The sequence below is a fragment of the Homo sapiens genome, chromosome 2 (assembly GCF_000001405.40).
Source record: "Homo sapiens chromosome 2, GRCh38.p14 Primary Assembly".
In the NCBI taxonomy this organism is placed as follows: domain Eukaryota; kingdom Metazoa; phylum Chordata; class Mammalia; order Primates; family Hominidae; genus Homo; species Homo sapiens.
Window position 1 is genome coordinate 29,115,680 of NC_000002.12, and position 27,261 is coordinate 29,142,940.

The following is a 27,261-nucleotide window of genomic DNA, read 5'->3' on the forward strand; positions in this document are numbered from 1 at the left end:
CGCGGGGCCCCCCCGGGCCGCGGGCTGGCCGGCGGCGGGGTTGGGGCCGGGGTGGGCGGCCCTGGGGGCCCGCGGGGAGGTCAGTGGCCCCGGGAGGGTCGCGCAGAGGCGCTGGGGGCTGTGGAAGCCCCGCGGCCGCCTCCCGTGGGCACCGGTGTCGCTGGCCGCGGGGAGGCCTTCTCGGGGCGGAGCGGCCCACCCGGCGGGGATGGGGACTCCTCGTGGCGGCCGCTGACGGACGGCCCAACTTTAGGTTGAGGGGCGCGGGGTGTGCGGGACCCGGCGGCGGAGCTGGGCTCTGGGCCACGACCGCCAGCCGCGGCTGCCCCGAGAGTCCCCGCACGCGCAGTGGCTTTCCAACGCGGCCTCTTCCCATTTCTCACTTGACTCCCCTTGCGCATTAAATTGTCGAGAAACCTTTGGCCAGTGGGTCTTCAAAGCTAAACCAAATGGCTGTCCTTGCAGTCCTTGGCTACCTGAGATCCCTTAATTCTGAACCATCCGCACCTGGGAGGGGAAGTTGAAAGGAGCGCTGGAGCTGAGCCCGCATCCTTAAGGATCCCATTCACTGCTTATGATGGTAGAGCTTTGAATTAGATGTCAGGCTGTTCACGTCATCCAGACTCTGGTTTTCAGCTCTGTGCTGAGACAGTGTTTTGATACGTATCAGAGGATGATGTTCCTATGGGACAATAACTTGCTGTATGTTCTGAGATACTAGACTGCGTTCATATTGTAGCACCATCATCGTATAAAACGGGCGCCTTTGAAAGGTTTCAGTAAACACCTTCCTCAGGAACATCCGCCAGCACTTAAATTGTACTTCACTTTCACTTTGACGTTTGTTGTTTGTGAATCTTGTGCACAATTTAAAGTGAGTCGTCTAAACAGCACAGGATCACGTGGTGCGGGGCATTGAGCAACTGGGGAGGAAAGCAGAGACTTGAACCTGCTGGAGTCTAGTTGGTCTGCGTTTTTATGTTGGAGAACCATCCTGGTTCCAGCTTATTTTGCTTTCGTAAATATGATGCATTTTTTAAATGCTTTCATTTGATACGGTCTATCTGGACTGTAAGATTGAGTCTAGCCATGCATGGAATGTGTTTACTTCTGTTTTGTAGAAGATTTAGCCCATGGTATTCTATTTGTAGGATTCATTTCAGACATTTTGTGTTTACCACATACAGTCCCACCAGCAAGGGCTTTTAAAAAAGTGACCTATGTTGTCTCTCATAGCTTATGACAACTCCAATTTTGACACGTGTTTGAAACTAGTGATCTTTAGATTATATAAAATCAACTTCACTCTTTCTCCCTGTTCAAACCTCAAACTCTGGTTACTTTTAGGCTTACTGCTCCCTTGTTAATTATTTATAATGAACTATGGAGCTATAGGCTTGCTTTAGTGTGTTAACCTTTATTTGTGTCTTGTTTCAGGCATTTGTATATTGTTTTCTCATCTGGAGAGTGAGCTGCACTGTTTTCCTTCAGTGCTGTTTAGAAGAGCTTTCGGAGACCAGAAACATGTTCTTTTTGCATTACCCAATATGGTAGCACTAGCCACATATAGCTTTTGACCACTTGAATGGGGCTAGAGCAGTGGAAGCACTGAAATTTTAATATTTTTTTTCTTTTCCTTTTCTCTCTCTCTTTTTTTTGTTTTTGTTTTTTTTTTTTGAGACGGAGTCTCGCTCTGCTCTGTCACCCAGGCTGCAGTGCAGTGGCCTGATCTCTCCTCACTGCAATCTCTGCCTCCCAGGTTCAAGCGATTGTTCTGCCTGAGCCTCTCGAGCAGCTGGGATTACAGGCGCCTGCTACCACACCCTGTTAATTTTTGCTGTGGGGTTTCACCATATTGGCCAGGGTGGTCTCGAACTCCTGACCTGAAGTGATCTGCCCATCTCGGCCTCCCGAAGTGTTGGGATTACAGGCATGAGCCACTGCACCTGGCCAATTTTTAAATTAATTTAAATAGTCACATGTGGCTAGTAGTTAGCTGGTCAGATGCCACAGCTTTAACTTATTAGTCTCCAGGAAGCCTTCGTTGACCCTCTTGAATCTGTGCTTTCATAGGACTCAGCTGTCCTTGGTCATAGCACTTACTACTTTCAACTTTCTGGTAGGAATCAACACTAGGCTGTAATTTATATGAGGGCAAGGACAGATCTGGTTTCTTTACCTTTGCATAGCTTAGAACTTAGTAAGAAAAACTGAATAAATATTTGTTAAATGCATAAATAGCTTTTTCAGGGCAGGTATTTCAATTTTTAATTCTCTCTAAGGCCAACTAAGTGTTCAGTACTGTAAATACCTGTTTAGTAGATTGTACAGATGTTATGTAGGTAGCAAATAAAAGGATCATTGGAGTTATGCTTTAAATACTTACGTGGTGAGATTGGAATCTCAGGAGAATGATGACTCATAACAAAGTATTACAGGAAATTGAATGAAAGGGCCTCATGATTCCAGCTAATGTAGACACAGCTTTGGTCTCCTATTAGTTGAATAACTCAAGGACACTCTTGAACCATATCTCAAATCTGAAGTCTCCTGGCTTCAGTAAGGCCCTTTTATGGGGTCCAGACAGTCCTGAACCAGCCTGAAGATGCTAGTGGACATCCCCATTTATTACTGCTCTGTGTTAAAGCATGGACCAAGGAGTCTTGGAAAAAAAATCACAAGGTATTTGAGCCACGTTATGTAAGATGCTTTTGCTAACAGCTAACTTGGAGTGATGAGTAGGGTGAAATTCCTATAGAAATCAGAGTTTGGGGAATTTGATTCTAGCTATTGTTAGTATCAGAGGCACCTGTTCTGTAGACAGTTGATTAGTGCCAATTTTTTTTTTTTTTTTTTGAGATGGAGTTTCGCTCTTCTTGCCCAGGCTGGACTGCAGTGGCGGGATCTCGGCTTACCGCAATCTCTGCCTCCCAGGTTCAAGCGATTCTTCTGCCTCAGCCTCCTGAGTAGCTGGGATTACAGGTGCCCTCCACCATGCCCAGCGAATTTTTTGTATTTTTAGTAGAGATGGGGTTTTGCCATGTTGGTCAGGCTGGTCTCGAATGCCTGACCTTGGGTGATCCACCTGCCATGGCCTCCGAAAGTGCTGGGATTACAGGTGTGAGCCACCATGCCTGGCAGGGCCAATATATATATATATATTTTTAACCTGAGGCTTACTTTATAATCAGTTATCACCAGTTAACCATAGTTGGATTTGGAATGAAAGTGTGTACTCAGTTCAGATCAGTATACTTAGACATTTGACCAAGAGTCCAGGTGTTGTAGGTCTTCAGATCCAGGAATTGCTTTTAGGAAATGAATCTGAGACTATAAGGAAGTTTATAGGGGTACATAGTTTCCTTTGGGAGGACAAAAGGTAGAATGTTAAGTTTTTCACGAAAATAAGGAAATGTAACTAGAGAAAAACGCAACAAAGACAAAATACAAAGAATGTTCACTGCATTGGTCAGGTAATATTGTAGCTTCTTCTGGACTTGAAGTATCTAATATGTAAAAGAATGAAGCTGGTTACATCTGATTGCATGAATCCTCTTTCCACTTTGAATCTAAGCTTTGAATATTAGTTAAATATGTGTAACACACTATTCTAGCTCCTGTGGTGACTGCTAGTTGTGTACGATAGAGTTCGTATCTTTGAGGATCTCAACAGTTTACAAGGAAATGAAAGGTGCTCTGGGGATCACTTAAAATTTTTTTTTTTGAATGGGAGACTCCACCCTTTGAAAGGGAAGTCATGTGGTGACTCCTCTTAACCGACTCAGACAGATATCCACTGAATCTTTTTGCTGAAGAATTAAGAGTATAAAAACATGTCTGAGTCCCAAACCGTGATTATAGTCAGATTAATTTTCCTAAAACAGCTTTAATCATGTTACTCTCTTTAAAAAAATCAGTAGTTTCCCAGTGCTCATGAAAGTAAGTGGTTTGGTCTTTGATGAGGTATTTGCTCCTCAGTACAGCCCTAAAAAGCCCTTACAGCCTCACCTCTGACTGTTTTCCTAGTCATATCCCAAGTTCCAGCCTACTGTTCTTTTAATGGGATCCCCTTTTATATTGATACCTATTCATCATTCAAGACTCATCACAGATGATACCTTCTTCACCATTTATGATTCTTAGAAGCTCCAACTGCAAATGTTCCTGGTACTTATGTGATGGAGCAGATCCCATTCTGCCTCATAATCTATAGTTATTAGTGGTATTTTATTCACCTTAATAGATTGTAAACTACCTAAGAAGCATGGACCATCTGTTAACTCATTTTTGTATTTGCTGAAACATCTAGAATAGTGTCTTGTATATAGTGGTTCCTTAATAAATACTCATTACTGTTTGGAATTGATAGTATTTGAGGAAGATCACCGCTGCTCTATAACACTAATTCCATGAACTTGTCATTTTCCTATTTATGTGGCAAGGTTAATGTCAAAATGCTTCTAAGTATTTGGTGGTAAGTAATTTTAGCATCCAAGAAAATGTGAATACCTTAAAATAGTAACAACTGGATTAGGTTACCTAATATATAACATCTATATCCATATAAGCATACGATTTTTGAGGAAAAAGAAAGCCTCCTACTTTTTACCAGTTCCTGCCAGTATTAAGAAAACATGAATCAAGTTAGGAAGACAACAGTGAGCTCAATGAAATGACTGTTTTATTGTAGTGGGGAACTGATGGTAAGGATAATTGAGTTAGATATAGGGTTGGTTAAGTAGAACAGAGCACACATTAAGTAGTAGCTAGTATGGTGTTGTCTACTACCAGATCAAGCCATTGATTACCTATTTTTATTCTGTGCTTTCTACTGAAATAATCTAAACTCATTTTTCATTTAGTTTTATAATGTTTTGCTTACATTTTAAAAACAGGAATTCATGATACTTCAGATAGTAAAGATCGGATACAAAAGAAACTGGAAGGCTTTTAGCTTCATAAGTTTGGTTTTACTAGCAGTTTCTCTGCTTTCTACATCATTTCTGAGATGTAGGCTAGGGTGTAGTACAAAGTCTAATTTAGAGCAAATTTATTCTAAGCACTCATGTTTTCTGGGAAAAAGAGGTAATATAAGCCATGTGCTTTAAAAGGCATGGCTTCCATCTTTGGCCAGGATAGAACTCACATACCTCGGACCTTGTTAAGTTGAACAATCTTAGTAAACTCTTAGATTTGTAAGAGGGATATGATTAATTTTCAGTAAAGTTTTCTGGGATAGAAAATAATGGAAACATTTTAAGGTAGATTATCTTCATGTGATGAGCACATGGCATGAGCTATTGGATGACAAATGATGTAACTTGTGCCAGTGTTATGGGAAGTTAAAGATCCATCTACAAGGGTTAATACGCCCTTGTTTGTTACATGAGTAGGAGGATTTCACCCATTTAGATTAGCTCAGCATTTAAAGTGTTTTCACCTATTTTATATTCCTTTTGAGCTTTGTCTAGAGAGATTACATGTGCTACCGACTGGTATAAGAGGTGGTGTGAAGCAATGTATGCCTTTTAACAACAGTTTTGCCAAAAGGAATTTTTTCCCTTTCATAAAAGATCCTTACTGAAAATGTCAGCAGATTTGACGTCAAATAACTTTTAGGCAGTTATTGAAGGCAGTCATTCTAAGTTGCATACAAATAAAGTAGAAACACTTTTTTTTTCTTTCTTATTATAGGTGGCTTTCTAGAAGATGACCATAGAGGACCTTCCAGATTTTCCATTAGAAGGAAATCCTTTGTTTGGAAGATACCCATTTATATTTTCTGCTTCTGATACCCCAGTTATCTTTTCCATTTCTGCAGCACCAATGCCTTCAGACTGTGGTATGTGAAGTAGCTGTGCTTATTTTCTGTGAACTGGTAACTTGACTTCTCTGTTACGCCTTTTTTGCACTCATAGTCTTTCTTAGAACCATTTTTATGGTTTTCATAAAATTGCTAAAGTTTTCCTTTTTCAAAAATACAATTGCTTATTGCTTTTTCTGCTTCTTAAGCTAAATGCTTTATTTCTGCTGTCAGCATTTATATTATGTTAAAATGTTCATTTTAAGCATCATGATGGATTTAGAGGACTTTATTTTTAGAAAGCAATGGTGCTTAGATATCTAGCATTCTTCTGCTATTGATGTATTTATTTTGGTTAAATATACTGACTTGCTAAAAAAGCCATGTACTTAGGCAAAGAGGGTAAGAGACCCTTCCCTGGAATGTGAAATGAGATTGGTTAATGTTTAAATTGGTCCATTTACATCTCCTCTGTAAAATGTTAATTTAGAAGCATTCCACTTCTCATCTATTTAGGCTTATTTCTCCAGAACCATAATAAAAGGGAACCAGGAGATAAATTTGATAGAATTGTTAAATTTCCAGTTTAGAGTTTTTCAAGTAAAATGTTGGTTCACCATTTCAAATTGTTTTTGGAGGTAGAGATCATACAATTTTTACATATTAGTAGATATTAGTAGATATAAAGTTATTGGACTGAGAATTTGTCTTTTTAGTCATATTCGTTGTAGTATAGTAATTCCTCATCTCCAAGTTTCTTTTTTTTTTTTTTTGTATTCAGATTCTTTAGCAGCTTACCTAGACCAGTCGTCAGAAGTATTATATAAAACCTGTGCCTTGATCTTGGGAGTTATCTGCAGGTTTTGCAGTAATCAACTGGGCTTATTTTCAGATATAACAAAATCAGTTATGCAGGGGAAACCTTGAACCTTGTGCATTGTACCTTAGGTATGATACTTGTCTCACTCCATCTTGACTTCTAATTGTCTTATTTTCTTTCCTATATTGTAGCGCTTTGGGATGGAGAACAATCATTTTATTTTTGTTTATCTCAAAAAGGCTAATATAGTCATTTGTTATTAGTTGCTCAATGATTGTTGAATAAATACATTGAATGAAAGGTAATAATGGATATTGACATTTTGCATAACTGGAATTAAACGTTGAAACCCCGTCTCTACTAAAAATACAAAAATTAGCCAGGCATGGTGGTGTGCGCCTATATTGTCAGCTACTCAGGAGGCTGAGGCAGGAGAATCACTTGAACCAGGAGGCAGAGGTTGCAGTGAGCTGAGATCGCATCACTGCACTCCAGCCTGGGCCACAGAGTGAGACTTTGTCTCCAAAAAAAAAAAAAAAAAAAAAAAAGCATTGTAGTCTTAGAATTATAGGTTTTTGTAGACTCTTATGAACCTTTCCCCACTCACCTCCCTGTGTAGACATCATATTTTCAGGATCTCTGTCAGATAACCATTTAACCTCTTGCATGTCTTCAATAGTGGGAAACTAACAAAATAGTTAATTTTATTGTTAAAAAGCTTTAGTTGTAATAAAATTGTTTTCGTATGTTGACTCAAAATTGGTCTCCCTGAAATTTTGGCCAAGTGATTCTAGTTTGATACATGGCACAAATTCCTTTATAGGATAGCCTTTAAGTATCTGCAGATAGTTTGAACATTTTAACTTAGCCTGAAACTCCTTAGGCTACACATTTCTGTTTCCTTCACCAGTTTCTCATTGTCAGGATTTCTAGACCCTTTTCATCGTAGCTGCTTTCTTGGTACACTGTGGTCAGTCTCCCCTTGAAAAGCGGCATATATAATTGCATTTATTGAGCAAGTATTTATTGAGGGCCTCTTGTGTGCTAGGGACTGTCCTGGATGCTGGAGATATCAGTGACCAAGACAGGTCTTCTATAGGGAAGACCAGTAAACAAACAAATGAATAGACAAAGCAAAAATAGGTCATAATGAATTCTGTGGAAGAAAGAAACAGGGTGCTGTGATAGAGAACAATGGGGGCAAGGCAGCTGCTTTAGATGGGGTGGTCATTCGGAGAATCAGAAGAGGCTGGCTGTGAGAAGAGCCTGGGAAGAAGTGTTCCAGGAAGGAAAACAGAAAACTAAAGGCACAGTGTTGAGGGAAGACCTTGGTATATCCTAAGAATTAATGGAAGGTCTTTGTGGCTGAGAAGCAAAGTGATTGATGGCAGAGTGGGAGGAGAAGGAATTGGAGAGTAAGACACCGGCCAGGTCATGCGGGGTCATGTAGGCCCCCATAGGGAATTTTTATATAATACCAACTAATGAGTGTAAAACAAAGAAACAAAAAGAAACCAGTCCACAGAAACCAGAGTTGAGGCATGTGACTCAGTGTTGACTCTCAAGGTGATTACCCTGTGAAACTATGTACTGTTCTTGCATAACAATTTTTGGAATCTTTTGCTTTGAAATGCCTTCAGAATCAGTTCATGCAGAATACACATTATATACATTATAAATACCAAAATACCTTATTATATATTTTGCTTAAACATTGAATTATCTGTTAAATTTAAATAATATAAAAAAATCTCATTTACCCATGTAGTTACCATTTCTAGTGCTCTTCATTCCTTTGTGAGTGTAGGTCCAGATTTCCATCTGATACCATTTCCTTCCGCCTGAAGCACTTCCTGTAATGTTTCTTATGGTGCTGGTCTGCCAGTGATGAATTCTTTCAGCTGTTTTATGTCTGAAAACATCTTTATTTACCTTATTTTTTTGAAAAATGTGTTTGCTGGGTTTAGAATTATAGGTTGGTAGTTTTCTTTCAGTACTTGAAAGATCTTGCTCTGCTCTCTTCCCATTTGCATTGTTTCTGCTGTCATTTTTGTTTCTCTAGATGTAATGTCTTTTTTTTGGCTGCTTTAAAGAGTTTTTATTTTGAGCAATTTTACTATTATGTGCTTAGGTATTGTTTTCTGTATGTTCTTGTGCTTGGGTTTGGTTGAGCTGCTTGGATCTGAGTTTCAGTTTTCATTAAGTTTGGGAAATCATTTAAAAAAATTTTTTGTCTGCTTCTCCCCGTTTTCAGATACTGTAATTGCATGTATATTATAGACTGCTTGAAGTTGTCCCATAACTCACTGATTTATTTTATATTTAAACATTTTTTTCTCTTTATTTTGGATAGTTTATATTACTGCATCTTCAAGTTCATTAATCTTTCCTTCTGCAGTGTCTAATTAATTAGCTGCTGATTTTTTCCAGTGCAGTTTTCATTTCAGATGAAGTTTTCATCTCTAAAGTTTGCTTTGGCTCTTTTTTATGCCCAGGTCTCTTCTCCACCTTTGAACATTTGGAATAGAGTTATATTGACTGTTTTAATGTCCTTCTCTGTTAATTATAATATCCATGTCAACTCTAGGTCTATTATTCCCCTGATTATGGGTCATGTTTTCTTCTTTCTTTGCTTGCCTGATAATCTTTAATTGGCTGCCAGACATTGTGAATTTTACCTTGTTAGATGCTGGATATTTTTGTATTCCTGTAAGTATTCTTGAACTTTGTTCTGGGATACAGTTTAGTTACTTGGAAATAGTTGGACCCTTTGAGGTCCTACTTTTCTGATTTGTTAGGTGGGTCTGGAGCCATTCTTGGCCTGGGGCTAATTGTTCCCTACTACTGAGAATTCCACTCCAGGGGCCCTGAACCCCCTGGCTACGGACTGGTACTGGTCCCCCTACCCCGGCCCCTGGTGCCAGAAAGATTGGGGACTGCTGTTCTACTCAATGCTGTGTGAATTATGAGGATTCTTTTTCAATCTTCCTTGTGAGAATAGGCACTAATCCCTGTAGTCCTTATGGATGGTTCTTTCCCTTACTTCAAGTATTTCCTCACAAGCATATGATGAATAGTTGAGGAGGACCCTGCACAGGTCTCTGGGTTTCTCTTGGAGTGTGTGCATCCATCTCTGCTGTATTCTGCCCTGTGACCTCTGGCCGCCTCAAGTTCCCCAGACTCTTAGCTCTGTCTCCTCGACTCAGTGAGTCCAGACTCTTAGCTCTGTCTCTTCAACTCAGCGAGTCCAGACTCTTACTTAGCTCTGTCTCCTCAACTCAGCGAGTTTGCTGGGCTTTTTCTTGGTTCCCCCTGCCCCACCCCTGAACTATGCTCCTGGAGACTCCCTCAAGGCAGTTACCTGGGGCATGTGTAGGACTTTTCTCATTTGTATTCCATTCCTCAGAGATCACTGTCTTTCATTGTCTAACATCCCGTGTCTTGAAAACCATTGTTCTTCCCTCTGGTGTTGTGGTTGTTTCAGATGGAAGGGCGAATTTGGCCCTCATTATTCCATCTTGACTTAAAGTAGACATCACCTCCATTTTCTCCCCTCACCCCACTTTCTTTTGATTAAAAGCTATTTTTTAGGCCGGGCTTGGTAGCTCACACTTGTAATCCCAGCACTTTGGGAGGCTGAGGCAGGTGGATCACCTGAGGTTAGGAGTTCAAGACCAGCCTGACCAACATGGTGAAACCCTGTCTCTACTAAAAATACAAAAATTAGCCGTGTGTGGTGGCGTGCGCCTGTGGTCCCAGCTACTTGGGAGGCTGAGGCAGAGGAGAATTGCTTGAACCAGGGAGGCAGAGGTTGCAGTGAGCTGAGATCACTGAGATCGGCCACTGCACGCCAGCCTGGGCGAGAGAGTGAGACTCTGTCCCTACAAAAAATAAAAAAATAAAAACTATTTTTCATTTAATCTCAAAAGCTTGCAACAGCATAAAAAATACTTTATTTTCCTTTATGGAAGTTGAAAATTCAAATGTAGTTAGATATGTTAATATATTATTGCATTGTAGCTTAGAGGTTATGTTCTCATTCTGGGTTATTCTGGCATTAATCCTGACTCAATCACTTTCCAGTTGTGTGATTTTGGGCAAATTGTTTATATTATCTATCCCTTTGTTTCTTCTTCTATAAAATGAGAATAACAATAGTGCCTACCTCATATGGTAGTTATGAGGATTAAATAAATTAATATACACAAAGTTCATAGAACAGTCCCTGGCATCTACAAGGCACTTAATAAGTCTAACTTATTGTTATTTAAATGAGCCCTCTGGAAGGCAGGGCATTAAGAAGATTTCCAGATTTGCTCTTGGAGCATCTTGAGATGCTGAAATGAGGATGGCAGTTTCTACCGATGGACTTTCCTGGTTTGCAGTTTGAATGTCTTGGTTGATGTCATCAGATGTTTTGGTGAATTCTCTAAGTGGCCCCCACAGAAACAGGCACAAAGGTTCCTTACATGAGCCATGATGGCGATTTGTCTAAAGTTTACATCAAATCATCCAGTAGGGGTTGGGGAAAAGGACAGTTTTAAGAATTTGGAAATAATAGTTTGGAGGGTTGTAACCAGATATTGGAGGAAACTAGAGGAATTCAGGATCCAGTGCAGTTTATAGGTGGACAGTGCCTCAAAGACAATAAACAGGACTAGAATCTGATAATGGGCGTACTTAGAGTTTTCTATGGAAACACAATTTTTCTCTCTACAGTTCCCATTTCTACCAAAGATAATCACAGGCTAATTTGTTCGCAAAATAAGTTTTGTCTCATTAAGCTGGCCTGATTATATATGTAAGTGCAGCAAGAATAGTGAATATGTACACATTCTCAAGTATGCCATTCCAGTCAGAGGTTTGATAATATCTAAGGGGCTTTATTGGTTTTGTAAAGTCAATCTGAATTCCTTAAAACTGTCTGGTAATAAGGAATCTGAAATTAGACTTTAAAAAGCCTTTTCAGTCTAAGAAGCCAAGCAGAGGACTTGCCCAATTGTGTCCTGTTACAGGGGAAACAAACTTTCATTGAACTTATGTAAATATTTATATTGCCATGAAAATAAAGAATACTCAATAAGTTTCTGAATTTTGGAGGGGTTGGGGTAGGGAGAAAAGAAAATGTGTTTCATTTTTGTTTACAAAAGTATTCTTCACCAAATTGCTGTAAGTTGTAGGTCTTAAGGGAAAAGAGAAAAGGCATTCTTTAACTCTAGAAAACAAACATTAAAGAACCCGCAATATTTCAAAGACATAAAAATTATAATCACCCTCATCAGTTCATTCAGTCCCCTGTAATTCTTGTTCTGCTTGATTTTGGGTTAGCAGCCTCATGAATCCATTGGTTTTCCATTAGAGTGCTGGAAATTCTTACCCAGTCCAATGCTGTGATCTTAAAGTTACCAGAAACCTGCACTTGTCAGAGTCTTTTCTGTAAATCTTCCAGCAATTTTGTATCACAGATGCTTGCAAAAGCTTTCAGGAAAATATCAGAGTAAAAAATCACTGTCTGTAGATGGCAAAAGATTTAAAATGTCCATAGTTACAGATTTGATGACAGTTCATTTTAATGCAATTGACAAGGAAATTTGGTTGTTTATTTTATAACATTTGAAGATAATAACTGGAATTATGACTGATAAAATTATACCAGAACATATCCAATTTCTAGGAATTTCATACAATTTCTAAAACACTTACATTAATAATATAGTCATACAAAAATAACATAAGGTTAAGCATCACCTTTGACAATGCTTCTCATGCAGTGTAATAGATCAAATAAGCCTAGTTAGTTTCACATATCAAATAAGCCTAGTTAGTTTCACATTTATTTGACAATGCTTCCCATGCAAAGATGCTTAATTAGTTTAATGTCTGTGTTTTTTTTTTTTTTTTTTAAAGAAATAGAACAAGATTTTCTAGGGGCCGTTGAAAAATCCCAGAGTTAGTCTAAGGTCAGAAAAGACTTCATTCAGAATTTGATTTTTGAGACGTTTATAAAAAGAATACCCAAAAGATTCAAGATTCAAAGCACTTGATTAAATAGGATTACAGGTATTTAGTTATCCATTTAACCAAAGTGACAAAGATTTCAAAGGCAAATACAGAGAAAGCCATGTAGTTGTTAAAAAAAACAAAAACAAAAAAAAACAAAACCCCTTGACTTTTTGAGAGAGAAACTTAATCAAAGACAGCACGAAGCACATGAAATTATCTTGACAAAATACAGAATCTTTGCTTTCTAGGCAGACCATTCAAAAGTTAAAGAAAAACCTTTCACAATCTCCCATCAAGAGCAGGCCCATACTCCAAGAAAGTTTAGTCGTTTTAACAGGAGCTGAAATGCTAGTTATGCATTATTTTGATATGAATGATAATAGATTCATTCAATTTTAGCCAGCTTAATCACACAAGATTCTCTCTCCCTCTTCTGAACTTCCTATAGCCATTTTGGTTTTTTTCCTTCATTTTCTTTTTCAGCAAAAAACATATCTTCCTACTTCACATTTTTTCTTGACTGTCACGCTAGCATTCTGTAGATTGAGAAATCTATGTAAATACACCATAATTTCTAGAAGCACGTTTCCTTATATTATAATTTTTCAGTGTAGCACAGGACATGTTTACTAACACACCCAGGTATCTTTAGTTTCTCTGTCCAAAAGTAGATAAGCTTATGTTCAGCAATTAATGTTTCAGTATTTATCTTATGTGGACTTACATTGATTTAATTCACTTGTTTTGAACAATTATGCTTGGATTACTTACGAAAATTTCATGAGACATTAAATAGCTAAGCATCATCTTGTTTTTCTTGCTGAGAAATTTTGTAACTTAGAGATAGCAGAGGCTTATTTGTAATTCACTTGTCTAACATGAGCTTATTTGACTAGTAGACCTACATAGAATCAAAGTTGTACGTCTGCCTTATGTCTAATGCTGACAACTCTGAAGGCATATTGGTTTTTTAAACTAAACCAACAATGTTTTTGTTTATTGAAAATTACCCAAGTCACATGAACTTGAAAAGCATTTGGATTAGTTCCTATTTTTCTGAGAGTTTTCAGGAATACTTAATTTATATAAGCACTTGTTTTTACTTATGTCTATTGAACATACATAGCTATAAGATCTCTGTGTCTGTTTGTGTATACAGACAGACACAGAGATCTTATAGCTTTCATTTCCAAATTTTAGCCATGTGTCAATTAAAATAATACAAAGCTTATTGGTTTATAAAAGAAGCTGGATCCAAATTGTACCTGTGAGAGATGGAACAAGTCAAGGTTACCTGCTCAGATGGCTACAGCTTTTTAGTGAAGATTTTTTTTTTATTTGAGTGCTGTAGGGATGCTTTTAGAGAAGCTATTTTTGAGTCATTTTGTGTTCAGCAGCTTCTGCATACAAATCAAAGAATGCATTCCATTGTCTCCAAAAGGCTTAGGATACTCCTCCTTCAAGGGCACTCCCAAAGGCAGACTATCTTACCTAAATTAAAGGTTCTCCGAAGTGGTCACTGAAATTGCAAATTATTCTTTGTAAAGTTCACCTATTTTTTCTTGTGAACTTTGTAAAGTTCACAAGATTCTGATCCACAGTGTTTTTGGACCCCATCTTTGCATTAGATTCTCTGAAAGGTCTTAACTATTAAGGATTCTTTTTTCAGCAGCTGCTCTGGAACACAGGGAATCATGTGTTTCACCCTTCCCCCTTTTGAACAGAATAGGTTGACTTCCTGAGAAGTTTCAGCAAAGGTTGTTCAGCATAATTGGAGAGTTCTACACAGAAGGAGGAGAGCTCAGATTCAAAAGAGACTTACTCTAGAACTCCATGGCTGGGTGAGAGAGCAGCCAGTGCTGCGGCCCTGGGTACCAGCACCTAGTTACTGGCCTTGGGGCTTCACAGGGGTCTTCTTCTGATCCTGCTTCTGACATCAAAAACTGTCAAAAGAAAATTCAGGGTGCTTTTCTTAATATAAATATTAAGTTAGTAAAAAACTGCAAATAGGGAGACTTCCAAATCAAAAGTGGTAAGAAGCTTGTCTCACGAAGGTTATAGTAAGGTTTATAAAGCCTAGAAAAGGAAATTCATACAGCTTAATTCTCACTGGTTAGAATGAGTGGGTTAGTTTAGTCATTACTGATTTGCTGCAATGTGCTGAGTCATGCTGACCAAGAAATGAAGTTCAAGCTTCATGTGCAGTTTAAGTAGGTGTTTTGGAGAATAGGTCCTTACAGGTTTTCCTGAGCTGGGGGTGGGACTTTGGCTCAGAGGCCAAGGTTTGTCTTGGCTTCTATTTTGATTTTTGCCTAACAGGACCATTTTGTTGTCTAAGCTTACGAATGTTATCACATTTCAGTTCAATCTTTCTGATTCTCTTCTGATGGACTGCTGCTCTGCTTGTATATGTGTCTTTAGTTTGGTGCCTCTCATCTTTTAGTTATGCTGACTCTAGAAGTAAGAACTATGTGTACATAGTATAATTTTGGAAAATATATAAATGCAAAGAAGAAAGCAAAAACAAAAAAACCTCAATGAGTCCCACTACTTATGCATGCTGTTACAATCTGAGCTCAGTGGTGAGTTACCTCAGCAAGTAGAATAATAGAGGAAAGAAGATAGACTTTGGAGACAGACCTGGTTTTCTACCCCAGATTTGCCACTTACTAGCTGTGCGATGTTGAGCTGGTATTATTTAGTCTGAGCTTTGCTTTCCTCATGTGCAAAATGAGAATAATACCTGCCAGGTAAGGTGTTGGTGAGGATTTTTAAAGTATTTAGTAAGTGCTCAGCAAATGTTCATAATATTTTCCTTATTTAGATACTTCTGATTTTTTTTTAGCATCTAAAATATTTGTATCATTTGAACCTTGGTTTTATTGTTTATTATTTTCAATATATTTATTTGAAACTTTTAGTAAATTTAATTTGCATCTTTTTTTATTTCAGAATTTTCTTTCTTTGATCCTAATGATGCATCATGCCAGGAAATTCTTTTTGATCCCAAAACTTCAGTTTCAGAATTATTTGCCATTTTGAGACAGTGGGTTCCTCAGGTCCAACAAAACATTGACATTATTGGAAATGAGGTAAGGAATTCTTACATTTTAAGTTTTGCATTGTTAGGATTGTTAATGGTATAGATTTTTTTCCCCATCTGAAAGGAAGATGGTAATAAAGGAGAAACCCTTTAAAAGTTCTGATATTTATTTGTATTTCCAGGATTTTCATGGGGCAGTGAGTTAATACTATATATTCTTCTGATTATTTCTTCATGCTCTGTACTTCTGACATTTGTAGACTCCTGGCGGGTGCAGGGAGGGGCATTTTTCATATTTCCTTCTTTGTAAAATTAATTTTGTAAACTTTTATGCATTTCATAAAGGGATTTGATTACCATCATGTTCTATTTACACTTTTGGTTGGTTTGGTAAATATATAGGCTTGAATGTAGTCTTTAAGAATATTAGATTTTTTGAGGGAGGGTTCCTTGACCAGTATGTTGCTGTGTTGTAGGAAGAGAGTGCTTATACTTTTTTCAAATATCATTACACGCATAGAAATAAAATTTTGCTCATTTTTGAGAGGAACATATTTGGAGTGCCAGATTACCTTTGGAATAATCTTTAAGAATTTCCTTCAGCCTGCTGACAAGTTCAGTTTTCATTATTGTTGTTGAGTACAGATTTAAAAATTTACCCTTAAGATATGCTCATACTGTCTATACATTTTACTGAGAAGTAATTCAGATACGATAGACTAACTTGGTTCCTCAGCATTGGTTTGAAAGCAATAGGTACCTCAGTAGTTAGGTTGTAACCATATTTTCCTTGACTGCTTCAGATTCTTAAGAGAGGTTGCAATGTGAATGATAGAGATGGATTGACAGATATGACTCTTTTACATTATACCTGCAAATCTGGAGCTCATGGTATTGGTAAGTGTGTGGTAAATCTATCAGTTGCTTATGTCATCTGCACTTGTGCTTAGATAATCTATATTTATGCCCATATATTGTCTGGGGGAAGGCACCCAGCTGATGATGATAATATTGCCTGAAGAGCTGAGGATTCAGTTAGGTCCTTCCAAAAACCATATTCCCTTTAATCAAGGAGGTCTTTATACCCTCCTGATACCTCTTAACTTTTCTGGATCAGGCCTCATGCCTGATTGCATAATAGATGAGAGTAACTAGTAACACCCTAAAATCTTTCTGAGGGTTTATAACAAGGTTTGACAGTCCAAGGTCAGTCTTTGCATACTGATCCCTAATCTTAAGACCCCAGTCTTGAGACCTAAGGTCTGTTCCTACATATGTAACATATGTGCATATTTTCCAAAATTGTTATTCTCTTGTGCTTTTTGTCATTGTATGAACCTGCATCTCTTACTTAACTATATATTGTGATTGTCTCTCCTTGTTTCAATAGTCTGATGTGGTGGTGCTGAAGCTACTGGTGGTGATGGACTCCTTTTTCCCCTCACAACTCATCATGAACTGATACTTTCACAAAATAAAATAAAAATGAATTTATAATACAAAATAAAATAAAGCCATAAAATATAAGCCCAAATATTTTTCAAATGGCATAAAACTGGCCAGGCATGATGATTTACACCTGTAATCCCAACACTTTGGGAGGCCCAGGCAGGAGGATTGCTTGAGGCCAGGAGTTTGAGACCAGCCTGGGCAACACAGTGAGACCTTGTCTCTACAAAAAATTAAAAAATTAGCCAACCATGGTGGTGCATGCCTAGAGTTTCAGCTGCTTGCGAGGCCGAGGTGGGAGGATCGTGTAAGCCCAGTAGTTGAGGGTTGGCGTGAGCTGTGATTGTATCACTACACTGCAATCTGGGTGACAGAGCAAGACTGTCTTTAAAAAAGAGGAAAGAATAAAAGGCATAAGACTACATTTCAGTTAACATAATGAGAAGACATATTAAATAGGGAAAAGCAATAAAAGGTACACACAGATTGCAATTTGGGACTGCCAGTGGTCCACGGAACACGTTTGGGGGAGCACTGATCTGCTGTGTTGTTGTTGATGGCTTCATAGCATTCTATGTGTGTCTCAATTTATTTAACCAATTTCTTATTATACTTTTTGGATTTTTTAGAATTATATTAACAATAAGAGTGCAGTGATGAGCATCTTTGCAGCCAAGTGTTTATCTGTATCCCTGAGTATGATTATTTTCTTAGGATCAATTCTTGCAAGTGAAATTTTTGAAGTGTGTCTATACAGTGCACTGTTTGCTTTGGCTTTTTAAATGAGGCAATTGGTAGCCATCCATTGGAACTTAAAATTTGTACTAAAGGAAAGTAATTTAGAAAATCTTCTTTAGGTGATGTGGAAACAGCTGTAAAATTTGCAACTCAGCTTATTGACCTGGGAGCAGACATTAGTTTGCGGAGTCGCTGGACAAACATGAATGCTTTGCATTATGCTGCTTATTTTGATGTCCCTGAACTTATAAGAGTGATTTTGAAAACATCGAAACCAAAAGGCAAGTATTATAAGATCACCTTTAGATATTATTAACTGAACACTTTAGTGGTGGCATAAAAATTATAATTCAAGGATATTTTTTCCTTCTAATCCATCTTGTTTCATATGCCTTTCTACTCCATTTTATTTCTGAGATAGTTTAAAATTTCTTTATTGAGTATTAATTACTATCTTTTCTACAAAAGGATTAGTACAGAGAGATACAAAATGAAAGAGTGTTCTCTGGGTTTTCATATCTCTATAAGTTCTCCAGTATAACACGGATGTTTTATATAATTGATTCTACATGGTTTATGATTCTTTTGCCTTGCTTGGGTAGCCAGAAATAGAATAATAAGGTCTTCAGAGATTGGAATAATAAATAATATTTATTTTAGATGGCATTTGGTTCTGAAATTATATAATTCAACTTAAGGGATAATATTTCAGTTTTTTTTCCCTGTTTTGATGGTGATATCCTGAAATTGAAGATCTGAATGTCTAAGTCACAGTCCTGGTATTTTGATTTTTCTCTCTGGTTCTCTTGGGGCCCAATTTTCTTTTCTTTCTTTTTTAGAAAAATATGAGAGCAAGCAAATAGTATTAACGTTAAGTTAAAGTGTACAATATTTTCCCCATTGTAGGAACATGCTTCAGAGATTCAATAGATAAATTTCCCAGAATGTTCATTTCTAACCTCCAATCTGCATAATTGTCCATTTTCTCTTTAAAATTCTACCTTTTCAATTTCTAAGTGATGTTGGGAAGAAAGCCTCTGTCTACACTACTGTGTCTTTAATAATTCAAGAGAGTTTGTCGAGTATTTCTGGGTGGTTTGCAGTTGTAGGAAGGGTATGTGGGTGTGGTGTTGTTTAGTTGAGGGTAGGATTTGCAGAACCAGAGGTATATTTAAACCCTTGTTATCGAAAATACTCAAGATGGGATTCCCAAATCTGGAGGATTTCCTGTATTTAAGTATAACATATGATGCTATGTTAAACGTTATTAACATGTCCTTAGAGTTGCAAGATTACTTTTCTCATTATGAAATTCAAATTCATTTGTTCAGTAGAGTATTATGAATCAATTTATAGGTAAGCATTTCTATGCTTAATTAGACTTTAACTACTTTGAAAATTCTGCTTTGTTTTACCTACCAGGTATTGGCCGTTTTTTTTCTGTAAAGGGCCAGCTACTAAATACTTTAGACTTTTTGGACCATATGGTCTCTGATGAAACTACTCAGTTCCATAGTTGTAGCATGGAAGTAGCCACAGAGGATATGTAAATGAATGAGTGTGCCTGTGTTCTAATAAAACTTTATAAAAACAGGTGGGCTGGATTTGGCCTCTGAGTCATAGGTTGCTGACCCCTGAGCTAAACTCTACTACTCTACCTCACTGTAGTTGTCATGGCAAATATGCAACAGACTTAATGGGAGATTGTGATAAGCTGTTACTTTTACAGATATGAATTTTTGCCATTAATTGTTTTAAAATATGTTTTAGTTTGAAAATCCAAGATAATATCACTCCATCTTATAATGAATTTTATTGTACTAATAATCAACTGCTTATTTTAACTAGATTGTAATATAAAGATTTTGTTCTGTTGTGAAATCATGCCTCTAGTGGGTTGATTTAAGTCTTACAAATGCTATAAGTCCCTCCTCCCAAAGCCCTGTCTTCTTTTAAATTATGATAGCTAAGTTTAAACTTTTAGTTAATATACTTATGATGTTTAATTGCAGATGTGGATGCCACTTGCAGTGATTTTAATTTTGGAACAGCTTTGCATATTGCAGCATACAACTTGTGTGCAGGTGCTGTGAAGTGCCTCTTGGAGCAGGGAGCAAATCCTGCATTTAGGGTAAGAGGTTAAATTAAAAGTGAAAAATATTAAAAGAATTAAGAAATCTTACTTTCTGGTAAAATGTTGAATCTGAATGTTATTAATAGAAGAACTCTTACATGAGCAAGTAATTTATATCTTTGTGCCACATGTAAAGAGTGATGATGATCTTTATTGTAAATAAATTTAAGGCATAATGATAAATTTCCTTTTATATTGATAAGTCCCATTCAGGAAAGTAAAGTCTTCCTTTAAGTGTCATAATCTTTAAGTATCTTTCATTTAGGAGTTTGATGTATTTATGAAAAGTCAGCTGTTAAGTAGCAATACATATATTACAGTTATATTTTTCTGTTAAATCATATTCTAAACTTTTTTGGAAATTCATTTCGGAAAGTTATATACCCATTTAAGGATGAAGTAAGCCTTTGAAAATGAAATGTTTAAAGGAAAAGTGTATTTTTTAATAGTAAAATTTCACTAATTTACAGAGTTACACAGGATTGAATTTCATAGTCTTCAGATCATTTGTTGTTGTTGTTTTTTTTTTTCAGAAAGTGTTCTGTTTTCCCTTTCTTTATATTAATAACAATAACTCGCTCTGGCAGGTATTCTTAATCGTGTTATACTTTCCCTTGAAGGGATGTGTGTGAGCGGCAGATAGTGTGCAGTATTCGAAAACACCTGTCTTCCCTTCCCTTTCCTATTTTTCCCATTTTCCCTACTTCTTTGCCAGTTTTCTTTCTGTTTAACCCCCTTGATTACCCCCCAACTTTTAATTTCTTCTCTTCCTCCCTCCCTCCCTTCTGACTATATTGGTTATTGGGCACTGGGAGAATACTACAATAATGTAGATAAAGCCCTTGCCCTCAAAAAGAATGTCTTGCAGAGGGGAGGTGGGACAGGGAAGCAGTCAGTTTTACTGTAGTGTGCTAATTCAGTGTGACATGATGGGGCGGGGGTGGCAGAGGGCCATGGGGTCATCTTCCCAAGGCTTCAACAGGGGGTGACATCTAAATCAAGTGCTTACATAGGCAAGAATTAAACAGGTACTGAAGGGAGGGTGAGGAAAGCATCTTAGGCAGAGAGAGTAGCGTGCAAGAAGCCTAGGAGATGATCATTCAGTCCAGCTGGAGTGTGAAGGGGGGAGGCGTTTGCTTTTGTTGGTACAGCTGTTGACAAAGCCCCATTAGTGGGGACAATGTTCTGAATTTGTTAGGATGCCATGAGATACGTTATTGAGCTAAATTACCAATTTAGGCCAGAAGCAGATTAATAGGTTGCCATATTTTGAAAATAACTACTTAAAAAAAAAAAAGGTAAACGTATGGGTCAGCAGTAGCCCTCAGACCATACTTTGATAGCCGCCATCTTATTTTTTAATTTTTATTTTAAATATTAGATTCAGGGAGTATATGTACAGGTTTGTGAAATAGGTTATATTGCCTGGTGCTGAGGTTTGGGCTTCTGTTGACGCCGTCACCCAAACAGTGAACATACCCTAGCCCTTCCCCACCTCCTTCCCTCCCACACTCCCTCCCGTCTTTAGGGGTCCCAGTGTCTGTTGTTCCCATCTTTATGTCTGTGTGTACCCAGTGTTCAGCTCCCACTAATAAGTGAGAACATGCATTATTTGGTTTTCTGTTTCTGCATTAATTTTCTTAGGATAATGGCCTCTAGTTGCATCCATGTTGTTGCAAAGGGCACGATTTCATTATTTAAATGACTGTGTAGTATGCCCTATATGTACCGCATTTTCTTTATCCAGTCCACTATTGATGAGCACCTAGGTTGATTCCATGGCTTTGCTATTATGAATCGTGCTGTGAAAAACATATGAGTGCAGTGTCTTTTTGGTAAAATAATTTATTTTCCTTTGGGTGTGTACAGTAATGAGATTGCTAGGTCAAATGGTAATTCTGTTTTTAGTTTTTTGAGAAATCTCCACATTGCTTTCCACAGGGGCTGAACCAATTTACATTCCCACTAACAGTGTATAAATGTTCCTTTTCTCCACAACCTCACCAAGATGTTATTTTTTGACTTTTTAATAATGGCCATTCTGACTGGTGTGAGATAGTCTCTCATTGTGGTGTTGATTAGCATTTCTCTGATGATTAGTGACGTTGAGCATTTTTTATATTTGTTGGTTGCTTGTATGTCTTCTTTTGAGAAGTGTCTGTTCATGTTCTTTGCCGCTTTTTAATGGGATTTTTTTTCTTGTTGATTTGTTTACATTCCTTATAGATTCTGGATATTAGTCCTTTGTTGGATGCATAGTTTGTATTTTTACCCATTCTGTAGGTTGTCTGTTTACTCTGTTGATAGTTTCTTTTGCTGTGCAGAAGCTCTTTAGTTTAATGAGGTCCTGTTTGACAATTTTTGTTTTTGTTGCCTTCGCTTTTGAGGACTTAGTCCCAAATTCTTTGCCTAAGCCAATGCCTAGAAGAGTATTTCCTAGGTTTTCGTCTAGGATTTTTGTAGTTCGAGGTCTTACATTTAAATTTTAAATCCATCTTGAGTTAATTTTTGTATATAGTGAGTAGTGGGGGTCCAGTTTCATTGTTCTGCATATGGCTAGCCAGTTTTCCCAGCACCATCTATGAGTAGAGTGTCCTTTCCCTACTGTTTATTTTTGTCAGCTTTGTCAAAGATCAGTTGGTTGTGTGTGGCTTTATTTCAGGGGTCTCTATTCTGTTTCATTGGTCTATATGTCTATTTTTTTTAGCAATATCATGCTGTTTTGATTACTGGAGTCTTGTAGTATAATTTTAAGTCAGGTAATGTGATGCCTCTGGCTTCTGTTCTTTCTGCTTAGGATTGCTTTGGCTATTTGGGCTCTTTTTTTTTTTTGGCTCCATATGAATTTTAGAACAGTTTTTTCTAATCCTGTGAAAAACGATGTTGGAAATTTGATAGGAAGACTGTTGAAACTGTCAATTGCTTTGGGCAATGTGGACATTTTAATGATACTGATTCTTCCAGTCCATGAGCATGGAGTGTTTTTCCATTTGTTTGTGTTCTTTCAGCAGCATTTCATAGTTATTGTAGAGATCTTCCATCTCCTTGGTTAGATGTATTCCTTGGTATTTTTATTATTATTTTGTGGCTGTTGTAAATGGAATTGTGTTCTTGATTTTGTTCTCAGCCTGAGTGTTATTGGTGTATAGAAATGCTACTGATTTTCGTATATTGATTTTGTGTCCTGAAACTTTACTGAAGTTGTTTATCAGGTCTAGGAGGTTTTTTTTGGCAGAACCTTTAGAATTTTCTACATATCGAACCATATTGTTGGTGAAGAGAGGTAATTTGACCTCCTCTTTTCCTATTTGGGTGCCTTTTATTTCTTTTTCTTGCCTAATTACTCTGGCTAGGACTTCCAGTACTATGTTGAATAGGCGTAGTGACAGTGGACATTCTTGTTTTGTTCCAATTCTCAGGAGGAATGTTTCCAACTTGCCCGTTCAGTATGATGTTGGCTGTGGGTTTGTCATAGATGGCTCTTAGTATTTTGAGGTATGTTCCTTCAATGCCTAATTTGTTGAAGGTTTTTTTTTTTTATCATGAAGGGGTGTTGGAATTTATTGATTGCTTTTTCTGTGTCTATTGAGATGATCCTACAGTTTTTAATTTTGTTTATGTGGTGAATCACGTTTATTGACTTGCATACGTTGAACCTCCTTGCATGACTTGATCACGGTGAATTATCTTTTTGGTATGCTGCTGAATTTGGTTTGCTAGTAACTTGAGGTTTTCTGTGTCTGTGTTTATCAGGGATATTGGCCTGTAGTTTTCTTTTTTGTTGTGTCTTTGCCAGATTTTGGTATCAAGATGATACTGCTTTCATAGAATGAATTAGGGAGAAATCCCTCCTCCTTGGTTTTTTCATATCATTTTGGTAGGATTGTTATCAGCTCCTCCTCGTATGTTTGGTAGAATTTGGCTGTGAATCCATTCGGTCCAGGGCTTTTTCTGGATGGTAGGTTTTTTATTACTGATTCAATTTTGTAACTAATTATTGGTGTGTTCAGGGTTTCACTTTCTTCCTGGTTCTTGGAAGGTTGTGTGTTTCTAGGAATTTAGATTCCTAGATTTTCTAGATTTCCTCTAGATTTTCTAGTTTATGTGAATAGAGGTATTCACAGTAGTTGCTGAGGATCTTTTACATTTCTGTGGGATTGTTGTAATGTCATATTTATCATTTCCAATTGTGCTTATTTGGATCTTTCTTTTTTCTTTAGCTAGCAGTCTGTCAATCTTATTGTTTCAAAGAACCATCTTTTCATTTTGCTGATCCTTTGAATGCCTTTTTTGGTTTCAGTTTCATATAGTTGTACTCCAATTTTAGTTATTTTTTTGACTAGCTTTGGGTTTAGTTTGTTCTTATTTATTTTTTTAACGTGTTTTTATTTATTTATTTTTATTTTTTATTTTGTTTCTTTTATTATACTTTAAGTTTTAGGGTACTTGTGCACAATGTGCAGGTTAGTTACATATGTATACATGTGCCATGATGGTGTGCTGCACCCATTAACTCGTCGTTTAGCATTAGGTATATCTCCTAAAGCTATCCCTCCCCTCTCCTCCCGCCCCACAACAGTCCCCAGAGTGTGATGTTCCCCTTCCTGTGTCCATGTGTTCTCATTGTTCAATTCCCACCTATGAGTGAGAATATGCGGTGTTTGGTTTTTTGTCCTTGCGATAGTTTACTGAGAATGATGATTTCCAATTTCATCCATGTCCCTACAAAGGACATGAACTCATCATTTTTTATGGCTGCATAGTATTCCATGGTGTGTATGTGCCACATTTTCTTAATCCAGTCTATCATTGTCAGACATTTGGGTTGGTTCCAAGTCTTTGCTATTGTGAATAGTGCTGCAATAAACATATGTGTGCATGTGTCTTTATAGCAGCATGATTTATAGTCCTTTGGGTATATACCCATTAATGGGATGGCTGGGTCAAATGGTATTTCTAGTTCTAGATCCCTGAGGAATCGCCACACTGACTTCCACAATGGTTGAACTAGTTTACAGTCCCACCAACAGTGTAAAAGTGTTCCTGTTTCTCCACATCCTCTCCAGCACCTGTTGTTTCCTGACATTTTAATGATCGCCATTCTAACAGGTGTGAGATGGTATCTCATTGTGGTTTTGATTTGCATTTCTCTGATAGCCAGTGATGGTGAGCATTTTTTCATGTGTTTTTTGGCTGCATAAATGTCTTCTTTTGAGGAGTGTCTGTTCTTATTTTTCTAGTTCCCTTAGGTGCAATGTTAGGTTGTTGAGACCTCCCTGTCTTCTTGATACAGGCGTTTTGTACTTTACTCTTAACACTGCTTTTGCTACATCCCAGAGGTTTTGGTATATTGTGTCTCTATTTTCATTTGTTTCAAAGGATTTTTTTTGAATTCTGCCTTAATTTCATTGTTTACCCAAAAGTCATTCTGGAGCAAGTTTTCTAGTTTGCATGTATTTGTGTGGTTTTCAAGAGCTCTTCTTGGTATTGATTTCTATTTTTACTCCACGGTGGTCCAAGAGATTCTTGGTGTGATTTTGATTTTTTTGAATTTGTTGAGACTTGCTTTATGACCATGGTCAATCTTTGAGTATGTTCCATGTGCAAATGAGAATAGCATTTATATTCTGTGGTTGTTGGGTGGAGTATTCTTTAGATGCCTATTAAGTCTAACTGGTCAAGTGCTGTATTTAAGTCCAAAATTTCTCTGTTAGTTTTCTGCCTTGATCTGTCTAATGCTTTCAGTGGGGTGTTGAAGTCACCCACTATTATTGTGTGACTATCTACATCTTTTTGTAAGTCTAGTAGTAATTGCTTTATAAATTTGGGTGCTCCAGTGTTGGGTGTGTGTATATTTAGGATAGTTAAGTCTTCTTGTTGAATTGAACACTTTATCATTATGTAATGCCCTACTTTGTCCCTCTTGACTGTTGTTGGCTTAAAGTATGTTTAATAGTGATCATCTGCTCCTTTTTGTTTTCCATTTGCATGATAGATCTCTCTCCAGCCTTTTACTTTGAGCCTATGGGTGTCATTACCTGTGCAATAGGTATCTTGAAGACAGCAGAAGGACAAGTCTTCTTTTTTTTTAATCCGATTTCCCACTCTATGTCTTTTGAGTGCTGTGTTTAGGCTGTTTATTTTCAGGGTTAATATTGATATGTGAAGTTGAGCTCCTGTTTCATGTTAGCTAGTTGCTTTGTAGCCTTGATTGTGTAGTTGCTTTTATGGAGTCTATAGACTATGTGCTTATGTATGCTTTTGTGACAGCAAGTATTATTTTTTTGTTTTCATGTTTAGAACTCTCTTAATCATCTTTTATTAACCTTTTTCAGGGTTAATATAGAAATGTGAAGTTTTGTTCCTGTTGTCGTGTTGTTAGCTAGTTGCCTCCTAGTCTCAATTGTATAGTTGCTTTATGAAGAACATAGACTATGTGCTTAAGTATGCTTTTGTGGTAGCAAGTTTTATTCTTTTGTTTCCATGTGTAGAACTCCCTTAATCGTCTTTTATAGGTCCAGTCTGGTGGTATGCCACCACTTTAGAAGAAAGTGGAATTCCACAATTGATCATGAATAAGCCTTCTTGTCTTAGGAAGATATCGTCATTGTTATTTTATTATTCTTACTATTATTTAGGTTTTTTTTTTTTAACAGAAGTTTCGATTGTTGAATTGTATGGGAATTAACAGAAGTGTGTGACAGGTTCCAAAAAGTGGGGATATAACAAAAGTCCAAAGTAAAATATTCACTGTAAGCATAGCTTACAACTTAGCCTGGGTGTATTTTAAAAATTTTTATGTTTCCCTATTTTTCTCTCTCTGTTTTTTAGAGAGTATACATTAGTGTAACACATATCTTTATTGTATTTTGTATGTTTTCTTGAAATCTGGGATTAGAAGAGTCCATTACCATCCTAGACATCTAATAACATATCTTCTTGCCATATTTCTACTAAGGACCAACCTGACTTGAATTTTAAAACAAAAAAATGCGAAGCAATTGCAAACTAAGTGTGTTCTAAAAGCCTCGTTCATTTTTCCATGTGAATCATTTGAAGAAGATTGTATCAGTGAAGAAAGGGAAAAAAGTTTCTCAGTTAACAAAAGTATCTTTATTCTTTATATTAAAAGAAGATTACAATCTAAATTATTTCTCATGAAGTCTAAGGTTTTTGGTTAGGGAATGTAAGATGACAGATAATTCATATGATAGGGCTTTTATGATACATATACCATGCAAATGACCGTGGGGTTGTCATTGGCCATTTTA

The 27,261-nt window shown here is 37.2% G+C and overlaps 1 protein-coding gene and 1 long non-coding RNA gene across 17 annotated transcripts in view, besides 1 other annotated feature; one reads left to right on the forward strand and one right to left on the reverse strand.

The window, feature by feature from the left end:
* CLIP4 (CAP-Gly domain containing linker protein family member 4) overlaps positions 1 to 27,261 on the forward strand; it is an 86,083-nt gene that overhangs the window by 17,954 nt on the left and 40,868 nt on the right. For 12 of the 16 annotated variants that reach the window (XM_005264562.3, NM_001287528.2, XM_005264563.2 and 9 more), the window contains exons 2-6: positions 5,695 to 5,842; positions 15,579 to 15,718; positions 16,473 to 16,566; positions 17,976 to 18,137; positions 19,869 to 19,987. In XM_005264562.3, the coding sequence (XP_005264619.1) occupies positions 5,710 to 5,842; positions 15,579 to 15,718; positions 16,473 to 16,566; positions 17,976 to 18,137; positions 19,869 to 19,987 (648 nt within the window). In that variant the 5' untranslated portion in view covers positions 5,695 to 5,709. Of the gene's footprint in view, positions 1 to 2,476; positions 2,683 to 5,694; positions 5,843 to 14,827; positions 15,087 to 15,578; positions 15,719 to 16,472; positions 16,567 to 17,975; positions 18,138 to 19,868; positions 19,988 to 27,261 lie in introns of those variants that run through there. The other 4 variants (XM_047445848.1, XM_047445850.1, NR_109844.2 and 1 more) reach the window with 4 other exon arrangements.
* Positions 147 to 386: a silencer, noted in NCBI's record as "silent region_11320". NCBI's record gives its function as "represses an Ori minimal core promoter by ATAC-STARR-seq in GM12878 lymphoblastoid cells {active_cell/tissue: GM12878}" and the evidence as "EXISTENCE:reporter gene assay evidence [ECO:0000049][PMID:35858748]".
* LOC124907747 (uncharacterized) lies at positions 11,486 to 14,669 on the reverse strand. Its single transcript, XR_007086264.1, has 2 exons — positions 14,449 to 14,669; positions 11,486 to 12,135 (listed from the first exon to the last, which is right to left on the reverse strand). It is a non-coding gene; the product is annotated as an uncharacterized LOC124907747 (long non-coding RNA).